At 51.3% G+C, this 11684-nt stretch overlaps 1 protein-coding gene across 6 annotated transcripts in view; it reads left to right on the forward strand.

Moving 5' to 3' along the window:
- RUSC2 (RUN and SH3 domain containing 2) overlaps positions 1-11684 on the forward strand; it is a 71785-nt gene that overhangs the window by 59150 nt on the left and 951 nt on the right. For all 6 annotated transcript variants that reach the window (NR_052015.4, XM_047424207.1, NM_014806.5 and 3 more), the window contains 8 exons: positions 5800-6441; positions 6692-6877; positions 7048-7188; positions 8654-8730; positions 8937-9111; positions 9202-9307; positions 9966-10012; positions 10769-11591. Coding sequence is in view for 5 of the 6 variants with exons in the window: in XM_047424207.1 (XP_047280163.1) it covers positions 5800-6441; positions 6692-6877; positions 7048-7188; positions 8654-8730; positions 8937-9111; positions 9202-9307; positions 9966-10012; positions 10769-11591 (2197 nt within the window). In the remaining variant the exon portion in view is untranslated. The remainder of the gene's footprint in view (positions 1-5799; positions 6442-6691; positions 6878-7047; positions 7189-8653; positions 8731-8936; positions 9112-9201; positions 9308-9965; positions 10013-10768; positions 11592-11684) is intronic.

The following is an 11684-nucleotide window of genomic DNA, read 5'->3' on the forward strand; positions in this document are numbered from 1 at the left end:
ACAACAACACACACACACTGGGCGTCAGTGAAGTTTTTTTTTTTTTCTTTTTGAGACGGAGTCTTGCTCTTTCGCCCAGGCTGGAGTGCAGTGGCCTCCCTAGGCCAGCTCTTTCCCTATTTATTTTGTTACATTTTAAATAAATATTTTATACCAGTGTGTTAAGGTGGTGCTAGTGACAGAGAGATGAGAGGGATGACTCTGTTTTCAAGGATTCCAGCTAAGGACAGAAACAGAAAACGTAGTTGATCATTAAAATGCAGAGATGGCAGTGTTCCGTACTGGCCAGTGAAAGGGGTATGTAAATCAGACTGAAACGTCAGGGAGGAACTGCTAATGCAGTTACATTTAAGCCCAATCTAGAAAGATGATTAGGATTGGGCTTTGTGACGACTTGTAAGAAGAATGTTCTAGGCTCACAGGATTGTCTGTACAAAACCACAAAGGCACAGAATAGCTTGACCCTTTCTAGGAACTGCATATAATTTGGTGAAGCCATAGTGGAACACAGGTGGAACCACTGAAAAATTTTAGAGAAATGGCTTTTGGCATTTGTTTGTTTTTGTTTGGTTTGGTTTTTCTGTCTGCTTAATTATATGTTTTGATTTGCATTTAGAAAGATCACTGGTTGGTTGTTCCTTCAGGCCTTGTTTAAAAAAAAAGTAATTGGGCTGGGCACAGTGGCTTACACCTGTAATCCCAGCACTTTGGGAGGCCAAGGCGGGCGGATCACCTCAGGTCAGGTTTTCAAGACCAGCCTGGCCAACATGGTAAAACCCCATCTCTACTAATAATACAAAAATTAGCTAGGCATGGTGGCGCATGCCTGTAATCCCAGCTACTCTGGAGGCTGAGGCAGGAGAATCACTTGAATCTGGGATGGAGATTGCAGTGAGCCGAGATCACGCCACTGCACTCCAGCCTGGGCAACAAGAGCGAAACTCCACCTCAAAAAAAAAAAAAAAGTAATTGGATCACTGGTTGTTTGGGTAGAAGATGGACTGGAAGGGGTGTCTTCCTGAAGTCAGGAGAAAGCACTGTGTAGATTGGAAAGTCATTGGAATAAAAGTGGTAGCTGGCACTTGCTGGGCGTGGTGACTCATACCTATAGTCCCAGCACTTTAGGAGACTGAGGCAGGCAGATCACCTGAGTTCGGGAGTTCAAGACCAGCCTGGCCAACATGGTGAAACCCCATCTCTACTAAAAATACAAAAATTAGCCGGGTGTGGTGGTGCACGCCTGTAATCCCAGCGACATGGAAGGCCGAGGCAGGAGAATCGCTTGAACCCAGGAGACAGAGGTTGCAGTGAGCCTAGATCATGCCACTGCACTCCAGCTTGGGAAACAGAGTGAGACTCTGTCTCAAAAATAAAAAACAAAAGTGGTAGCTGAAGCTATGTGTGTGGCTGAGAGAGGATCCAGGGAGAATGTGTTGAGTTATAAAGGGAAGAAGGGGATACTGTGACTTAAGGGATGAGCAGCACCCTCAAAAGAGACAGAAGAATTAGGACAATAGAAGAAAAACCAGGAGAGGCCGGGCATGGTGGCTCATGCCTGTAATCCTAGCACTTCGGGAGGCCGAGGTGCGCGGGTCACCTGAGGTCAGGAGTTCACCAGCCTGACCAACATGGTGAAACCCCATCTCTACTAAAAATACAAAAATTAGGTGTGGTGGCGGGTGCCTGTAGTTCCAGCTACATGGGAGGCTGAGGCAGGAGAATCGCTTGAACCTGGGAGGCAGAGGTTGCAGTGAGCCAAGATTATGCCACTGCACTCCAGTCTGGGTGACAAAGTGAGAGTCCGTCTCAAAAAAAAAGAAAAACCAGGAGAGAGTGAAGTCACAGGAACCAAAGGAGGAGAAAGTTTAAAAAAAGTTTGAACCAAAAGAGTTCTAAAGAGAAATCACCTAAGATAATGAAGAATCCTGAAGGCAACATTCAGGAGTAGTGAGAGTGGAAGCCAGATCTCAGAGGGTTTAGAAGGAAAGGGAGGTAAAGCAGGGATAGCAGAGGCTCACAGCTGTGCTGTAGCCTTAGGTTGGGTCTGTTGGCTTCACAAAAGAAAATGTTTTAAAACCATAAATAATATCTGTGCTGTCAGGGAGATCACAGTCCATCAGAAGACTTCATGTTCCTAACATACACTGAAGAGCTGTCCTTGGGGTGGGCATGGGAGGGAGATCTCTAGGGAAGGGGCAGGATCAGAAACAGCAAGGATTGACTGGGTCCTTTGAACCCACTCCCTTAGACTGCAGTGTCTGTCTGCTGGGTGCATCTCGTGGGATACTATGACTGGCATTCTGAGGGCAAGAAATATCCTGGTCAGAGATGTGTTTTCTCTATCAGATTAAGACATATCAACATGCTGCTCTGTTCCATAAGTCTCCAGTCTTCTCTTGATTCTGTACAGCTTTTTTCTAAATCAAAAATGAATGACAATTCATCAAGCTTTGAATGACAAAAGAAGGGACAGGTTGATCCAATCTAGGAATGACAGTATAGGAAGCTGAGAAGGTCGGCTGGGCATGGTGGCTCACACCTATAATCCCAGCACTTTGGGAGGCTGAGGCAGGAGGATCACTTGAAGCCAGGGGTTTGAGACCAGCCTGGGCAATATAGTGAGACCCTGTGTCTACAGAAAAAAAAATTTAAAAACAGCTGGGAGTGATGGCACATGCCTGTAGTCCTAGCTACTCGGGAGGCTGAGGCAGGAGGATCGCCTGAGCCCAGGAGTTTGAGGCACAGTGAGCTATGATTGCACCACTGCATCCCAGCCTGGGCAAAAAGTGAGATCCTGTCTCTAAAAAAAATTAAAGTAGGCCAGGTGTGGTGGCTCATGCCTGTAATCCCAGCACTTTGGGAGGCTGAGGTGGGGAAATCATTTGAGGCCAGGAGTTCGAGACCAGCCTGGCCAACATGGAGAAACCCCATCTCTACTAAAAATACAAAAATTAGCTAGGCATGGTGGCGCACGCCTGTAGTCCCATCTACCCGGGAGGCTGAGGCACAATAATCGCTTGAACCTGGAAGGCGGAAGTTGCAGTAAGCTGAGATCACGCCACTGCACTCCAGCATGGGTGACAAAGTGAGACTCTGTCTCAGAAAAAAGTAAATTAAAAAATAAAAATAAAAAAGGCAGCTGAGACGGCTCTTTGAGATACTGAGCAGCAGAATCAAGATTTAAAGGGATCTTACTGAATCTTGAAAGAACAAAACTAATAAAGCAGAGACCAATGTGAAGTTTGATATGTAACCTGCACTTGAGTTGATTTGGGATATTTGATTGCAAACTCAGATTGAGTCAGCAGTTGGTAGAGCTTCCAAAAAGTTAAGATGACTGGATTCATTCATAGACTCCAGAAAGAAAGAGTGGATAGTCTCTCACTCCTCCGAACCAGTGAGTGCTCAGTGGTATTCCATTGAGTTCTGGGTACCACATCTTAAGAAGGAACTGAGGAACTGGGGGACTGGGGCTATTTAACCTAGAGAAAAACTGACTCGGGTGAATACGGTCTCTGTCTCTGGTTTTCTTAATGAATGTCACATAGAAAAGTGAGAAAACTTATTCTGTGTATTCCCTGAGGGTAGAACTAAGACCCATTCCCCACAGGGGCCCCCTTCTTACCTGATCTTATTCCTCTGCCTCAGTCTGTATCCTGGGAACTTAGCAGAGAGGAGTTTTAAAAGGGTAGGAATAAGCAGTCTAATTCAGACATACTTTGTATAGGGGGTATAATAATGCTGTGGTTGGGATGACCTAATCCGATAGCCAGAGTCAGCTCAGCCTTGAAAACTGATACTTAAATAGGCGGAAAGGAAGGACACATTCCTGATGGGAAAAGCAGTGGGCTTCATGACAGGGATGGACTGGGAAGAGTAGGGTCAGTGGGGGCAGGTGTGGAAGTCTGAAGGGAGAGCAGCCTAGCTCGTAGCAGGTGTGGGCAACTAGCTCACTGAGAAGATTAGACTTTATTCTGGGAGATAAAATTTGTATCTCAGAAGCTAGTTGGTGTATGTAAGAAGCTTCTGGTTGTAGTGAGACTGGCTTGAATCAAGAGTGACCGTGGAGATTCCCTCATTTAACAGATGGTTTTTCACTCCATACTGTGTGCCAGCCTCTGTTCCAGGCATTATGGATCCAGCAGTGAACAATATAAAATCCCCACTTTTCTGGAGCTCTTAGGAGCAGTAATGGACAATAAACACATTAAAAGGACAACTTTTAATTGCTGGAAAGTTCAACAATGCTGAAAAGAAAATGAAACAGGGTAATGGGATAGAGAGCAACTTGCCAGAGGGGCTGACGTAGTCAGAGAAGGTCTTATTGAGGGGGTGATATTTGAGCTGATGCCTGAATGGTGAGAAGATTCAGACAGAAAGAAAAGCAGGTGCAAAAGGCCCGGAGATGTTCATGCATCTGGTGTGTTTAAGGACGGGGAAGTGTGGCTGGAGCACAGTGGGCCAGGGAGAATGCAGAGTCTGTGTAAGCAGTGACTGGGTATAGCAGGAGGGTGGAGCTTGAAAGTGTCCCCTGGGAGTGATTCAGAAGCACCTCCCTAATGGGATTGTGGTCCCCATCCCCTCTGACTCTTTGATGTAAATAAGATGAGGGATAGGAAAACCTGGCCTGATACAATTTCACATGTAGTACAATGTGGTAAAAAGAACAGTGGCTCTGAAATCAGACTCTGGGTTAGGCAGAATTCTAGCTCTGCCACTTCCTAGTTGTTTGACCTTGAGCAAGTGCTTTAATCTGTCTACATTTCACATTTCCTAATATGTCAAGTAAGAGAACTAATTCCCGCCTCGCAGAGCTACTGAGCCCCACTGCTGGTGAGCTTTCACCAGGGCTTTAGGCCGGGTGCGTGCTTATAGCGCCATCTTACGTTTATTCGGAGATCTACAGTGTTTTGTTGGAAGTGCAGTCCATCCACTGTCCCACTCCAGTGTCCTGGAGTTTTGTGTTTAGTTCTGAGCACCACGTTTTGAAGGACATTGACCTGAAGACTGCCTGAAAGAACAGGAGAGGCCCAGCCTTGGGGAACATACCTCCGTTCAGGGGGAGCAAATGTGGACTCTGAGGTTCCAATGCCAGGATCGTGAAAAGAGTGGGAGTGGGGGTAGATACAGATAACAGGTAGGCTGCAAGTAAAGAAATATCTTACTATGGTTCGATATGCTCAGGAATGAAATGTGCTGGCATGATTGGAGATGGGATAATGAGCAAAAGCTTGAAGTCAGTAACATCTGAAACATTTTCATCACTGAAAATGTGTGTGACTGTGACTCCAAGACTTAGAAACAAAGAAAATGGTTCTGCCATTGATAGAAATGGAAGTCATCGGAAAAAAGGAGAAAGGTGATGGATAAGCGGTTATAGCACATTTTAAGTGAAAGCAGAACTATAAAGCAGAATGATCTGGAGATGAAGAGGAAGGTCCAGGCTAAAGCTGTGGGTTTGGGAGTCATCCCGTAGAAGTCTGAACTCAAAACTTCTCAAGAAATAAAGTGTAAGGTGAGATGCAAGAGTTGAGCCTTAAGATACACTCACCTTTGGAGTCAAGAAAATGAAGAGGGACTGAACAGCAGAGAGGTACAAGACAGTCCAGCACCATAAAAGCAATAGGAAGCGTTTTACAAAAGAGGGGAGCAGTGTCCCATTCCACGAACTTCTACCCCATTCAATTCCTGCCAGCCAGGTCCCTGCCCCTCTCCCCTCTCCCATCTCTGCTTCTGGGTTTTCTCTCATATGGGTTTCAGTGTCTGTCTACTGATTTCTTCTCCATCCCTTTGCTACAGGGGGTGGCACCGAGAGCCGACCAGTCCTTCGCTACAGCAAGGAACAGAGGCCAACCACACTGCCCATCCAGCCCTTCGTGTTCCAGCACCACTTCCCCAAGCAGCTGGCCAAGGCCCGGGCCCTCCACAGCCTTTCCCAGCTCTACAGCCTCTCAGGCTGCAGCCGTACACAGCAGCCTGCCCCACTGGCTGCCCCTGCTGCTCAAGTCTCAGTCCCAGCTCCCTCAGGGGAACCGCAGGCATCCACTCCCCGAGCCACTGGCAGAGGTGCCAGGAAAGCTGGGTCTGAGCCAGAGACCTCTCGGCCATCGCCCCTGGGCAGCTACTCCCCCATCCGGAGTGTTGGCCCCTTTGGGCCCAGCACTGACTCTTCTGCCTCCACTTCGTGCTCCCCTCCCCCAGAGCAGCCCACAGCCACAGAAAGCCTGCCCCCATGGAGCCACTCCTGTCCTTCTGCTGTCCGGCCTGCCACCTCCCAGCAGCCGCAGAAGGAGGATCAGAAGATACTGACCTTGACTGAGTACCGGCTCCATGGAACAGGAAGCTTGCCGCCTCTGGGCTCCTGGCGATCTGGCCTCAGCCGAGCAGAGAGCCTGGCCCGGGGAGGTGGTGAGGGCAGCATGGCCACCAGGCCCAGTAATGGTACGAGCTCCAGCATCTCCCTACCCAACCCGCCACCTCACGCAAGCACTTCCACCACCTCCCCTTTGAGTGGTTGCTTACACTCTCACCTGGGGCCAGAGGTTAGGATGTCTGCATCCCTCCCTCAGCATCTGTAGATAATATCCACAGATAATCTAGTGTTTCATATGGGCCCACTGGGTGGATGTGAAACTCTGTCTCGCTGTCTCCTGCCAACTCTTGTCTTTCTGCTAATCTGTTCTGCTTCCAGCCAACCACCTATCCCCTCAAGCCCTCAAGTGGCGGGAATACAGGAGGAAGAACCCACTAGGGCCACCTGGTTTGTCAGGGAGCCTAGACCGAAGATCACAAGAAGCTCGGCTGGCCCGAAGAAACCCTATCTTTGAGTTCCCTGGCTCCCTCAGTGCTGCCAGCCATCTGAACTGCCGGCTGAATGGTGTGTGAGCAGGGTCCCCAGTACACCCGGGGCAGGCTCTGCCATGGCTGGAAAGGGCTAGAGAAGGGGTCAGTCCCAAAGGAACGTGTCTCAGACGGTACGAGGCACTGAACTGGCCTGGAACTCCTGCACTGAGAGTTGCTCAGGATTGATTTTTCTCTTCTTTCCAGGCCAAGCAGTGAAGCCGTTACCACTGACCTGCCCTGACTTCCAGGACCCCTTTTCCTTGACGGAGAAGCCTCCAGCTGAGTTTTGTCTGTCCCCAGATGGCAGCTCAGAGGCCATTTCCATTGACCTGCTTCAGAAAAAAGGTGCATACAACCCCCAGCTCAGGCCAGGGACTCTGCTGTCACTACCTCCTCACACTTGCCCTACTACCTAGCCAGTCTGAAACCTCTAAGTGCTGGCTGGGCCCAGTGGCTCACGCCTGTAATCCCAGCACTTTGGGAGGCCAAGGCAGGTGGATCATGAGGTCAGGAGTTCGAGGCCAGCCTGGCCAACATGGTGAAACCCCATCTCTACTAAAAACACAAAAAAAAATTAGCTGGGTGTTGTGGTGGGCGCGTGTAATCCCAGCTACTCGGGAGGCTGAGGCAGGAGAATTACTTGAACCCAGGAGGTGGAGGTTGCAGTGAGCCAAGATCACACCATTGCACTCCAGCCTGGGCAACAAAACTGAAAACTCCTTTTCAAAAGAAAACCACAAACAAATCTCCAGGTGCTGGGAAGGTGTTGGAGCACACAGGCTCTGGGGCCAGAGGAGGAAGCTGTGTGCTGTGTATCATGAGTGCATGTGAGTGAGCAAGGGTCATTCATCAGAGGCTTTCAGAGTCACGCTCCGGTCCCTTCCTGCAGTGAGCAAAGTCTCATGAGGAGGCTTCCATGTCATCAAAAAATGCCTCAGTGCTCTTGGAGGGGGCGGGTGAAGGTACTAGAGGGCCCAGCAGCTTGGGTAAGAGTGTTGGTGACATCTAGTAAGATGAAGATTGACAAGACCCACACTATTTAGCAAATAAGTGACCACTGAACTAAGAACATTTTTAGGGAGATGGAGAGAACTGAGCATAATTGTGGGCTGAAGATGAGCCTGTGAAGAGAGAGCTGAAGTTCCTTGCAAAGGCAGAAGGGGAGAATCAGAGCTCAGGGAGAAAGAACCCGGGCAAGAAGGGAAACGGCCACCTTCCTCCAGGACGCGAAGGGGATGCAAGTGGGCAGGGGAGTGAGGGGTGTACATATGAGATTGTTATGGATTTTGGAGGTAGAGGGAAGTTAAAGGAGTTTATAACTAGGGAACTCTGTTCTCTGAAGCAGAACCAAGGGCTTGAGAGGAGGGGTGTCGATTTCACATGGCAACTTGAGGGTATGGCAGAGAGTGCTGACAAGCCATGTGTCAAAGAACCGCCCTTGTCTGGCACTGGCACTGGGGTGAGGGACTTGGGTTTTCTTCAGGTCAGTGGCCCGGTTTCTCAGAGTGGAGAAAACCGATAGTTGGCCTGACCCAGGATTGGAATAAGGGCTGAGAGGTAAGGACATTGAGAGGCTTGACAGTGGCATCACTGAGGTAGCTCCAGGCTGGGAAGTAAAGACAGGAAGAGCTTAAGAACTGGGCAGAACCAGAAAAGGGCCAGGCCTGAATGTTTTGATAAGACCCATGTGCAGATGTGGAGACGGAGTAAGTGTGGGAGCCCTTTCCCTGAGGAAACCTGAGGTTTCAGCCCCAGCTGAGTTGGTTAAGGACTTGCTCAGGGACCTGTCACATCACATTCTTCCCTGCAGGGCTGGTAAAAGCTGTTAACATCGCTGTGGACCTCATTGTGGCTCATTTTGGCACAAGCCGGGATCCCGGGGTGAAGGTAGGCAAGGAAATGTGGAGAGCTGAGCTCTGCCTGCAAGCCCTCACCTGTCCCGCGCTACCACCTTCCCTTGCTGTCTTGCATTTAGAGCCCAGGGTTGGGTACTTAGGAATGGGGACGGCAAGAGGGGAACCATGAGGGCCTGCTACGAGAGGACCACAGTCAGGCCTGAGGGGGTTTCCTGCACTTCCCTACCACACCTACAGGCAAAGCTGGGAAACAGTTCTGTGAGCCCCAATGTGGGCCACCTGGTTCTGAAGTACTTGTGCCCTGCCGTCCGCGCCGTGCTGGAGGATGGGCTCAAGGCCTTTGTACTGGACGTCATCATCGGGCAGCGTAAGAACATGCCATGGAGTGTGGTTGAGGCTTCCACACAGCTAGGTAGGTGCTGGGTGCCAAGACGGGGACCCAGGGCTGAATTTAGGGCTCCAGAAATTGGTCATGTGACCTGCAACCCTGGCTTCCTCCCAGGCCCATCCACCAAGGTCCTGCATGGCCTCTACAACAAAGTCAGCCAATTCCCAGAGCTCACCAGTCATACCATGCGCTTCAACGCCTTCATCCTCGGCCTGCTCAAGTGAGTGCACAGAGCAGCAAGATCCCCTAAACAACTTGCCCTGCCCCCCACCCCCGGGCTCTGCCTGCACCAAGGAAACAACGCCCTGGACAGACAGAAAGGGTGGATCTGGAGGGTCCCCTCAGCCCGCTATGGCCTCTCAGTAGGTCACTGCCTCCCCACTGTGCCCATGACTCTGTCACTGGTCACCAACGTGGTCTGCTTTTACAAATCTGTAATCTGGCTTATTTGGAAATTAGTTGGGTTTCTTAATTTCTCTGGACCTTGTAAACCCTGATCCTCTCCATTCCAGCACTACTTCCAAATCCTGCTTGACCCTAAGTCCACCTTGGGACCCACATCCTAGTAACATGCTTTCTCAGGTATGGGCCCAGGCCATTCCCTTTGGCCCTGAGCTGCCTGTACTTTCACACAGTAGCTGCCTTGATTTCTTAGGTCTACTGCAGGCTGACTCCACTCCAGGAGGAAACAATTGGCTTGTAAATCACATGTCCATCTCCCTCCACACATCCCCACTGACTTTCTGGAATTAGGTGAAATGAATCGTGCCATGGAAGGGCGTGTTCACCTATTCTTCCTGTGCCTGACCCCCTGGATCTGTCTCCTTATCTGGCTGTATTCACACAAGACTCAACTCTCTTCACCTGTCTCCCTACAGCATCCGGTCCCTGGAGTTCTGGTTTAATCACCTCTATAACCACGAAGGTAATGCCTAGAACCCTGCAGGTCAAACTCAATGGGTCAGAATTCAGAGGCACAAAAGAGGAAGGAAGAGCTGTCTTTTCATTGCTGGAGGTGGGGAGGGGGACCACACAAGCGTTCATCCTCAGAGCCTCAGGCTTCCACCCAAGGCCTTCCCCAGCCTCTGCTTGAGTTAAAACCTTGGGCCAGGCATGGTGGCTCATGCCTGTAATCCCAGCACTTTGGGAGGCCGAGGCACGTGGGTCACCTGAGGTCAAGAGTTTGAGACTAGCCTGGGCAACATGGTGAAACCCCGTCTCTACTAAAAATTCAAAAATTAGCCGGCTGTGGTGGCGCATGCCTGTAGTCCCAGCTACTCGGGAGGCTGAGGCACGAGAATTGCTTGAACCTGAGAGGCAGAGGTTGCAGTGAGCCGAGATCATGCCACTGCACTCCAGCTTGGGCAACAGAGTGAGACTCAGTCTCAAAAAACAAAACAAAAAACCTTGGAGCCAGCAGGATACTCTAGCAATCTGGGAGTTAGGGTGGCCAGGAATCCCTGCATCTCACTCCTCTAAACTCAGGGCCACCGCCTGGGGTTGGAGAGTTTAGGCACTGCACAGCTGTGGGCAGCAGCGTTTATACTTAGTACATGCAAGTTGACTAGTGCACAGCCTGCACCGCTGTCTGCAGCAGCTCTGCCCAGACTGTCTTTCAAAGTCCCACTTGGGCCAGGCTCTGGTTCTCTGTGTGGATCAGTCCCTCTCTCTTTTCCCCTAGACATCATCCAGACCCACTACCAGCCCTGGGGCTTCCTGAGTGCAGCTCATACCGTGTGTCCCGGCCTCTTTGAAGAGCTGCTGCTGCTGCTACAGCCCCTGGCCCTGCTGCCCTTCAGCCTCGACTTGCTGTTCCAGCACCGGCTGCTGCAAAGTGGGCAGCAGCAGCGGCAGCACAAGGAACTGCTGCGGGTGTCCCAGGACCTGCTGCTGTCTGCCCACTCCACGCTGCAGCTGGCCCGGGCCCGGGGCCAGGAGGGCCCTGGAGACGTGGACAGGGCAGCCCAAGGGGAGCGGGTGAAGGGTGTGGGTGCCTCAGAAGGTGGAGAAGAGGAAGAGGAAGAAGAGGAGACAGAAGAGGTGGCAGAGGCAGCCGGGGGCTCAGGGCGTGCCAGGTGGGCCCGAGGTGGGCAGGCCGGCTGGTGGTACCAGCTCATGCAGAGCTCCCAGGTCTACATCGATGGCTCCATTGAGGGTTCCAGGTTCCCTCGTGGTAGCAGCAACAGCAGCAGCGAGAAAAAGAAAGGGGCAGGAGGTGGGGGACCTCCCCAGGCTCCACCACCCCGAGAGGGAGTAGTGGAGGGGGCTGAGGCCTGCCCTGCCTCTGAGGAGGCCCTGGGCCGGGAAAGGGGCTGGCCCTTCTGGATGGGGAGCCCCCCTGACTCTGTGCTGGCCGAGCTGAGGCGCAGTCGGGAGAGGGAAGGGCCCGCTGCCTCGCCAGCAGAAAATGAGGAAGGGGCCTCAGAGCCTTCACCTGGAGGCATCAAGTGGGGACACCTCTTTGGCTCCCGAAAAGCCCAGCGGGAGGCCCGGCCCACAAATAGGTGAGAGCCTGCCCATGGTAGGGATGGAGGGAGTAGGGAGCCTGCTGTAAGCCAGGGCACGGGCAGAGCCCATCCTGGGCAGAGCCTGAGTCC

The sequence above is a fragment of the Homo sapiens genome, chromosome 9 (genome assembly GCF_000001405.40).
Source record: "Homo sapiens chromosome 9, GRCh38.p14 Primary Assembly".
Lineage (NCBI taxonomy): Eukaryota > Metazoa > Chordata > Mammalia > Primates > Hominidae > Homo > Homo sapiens.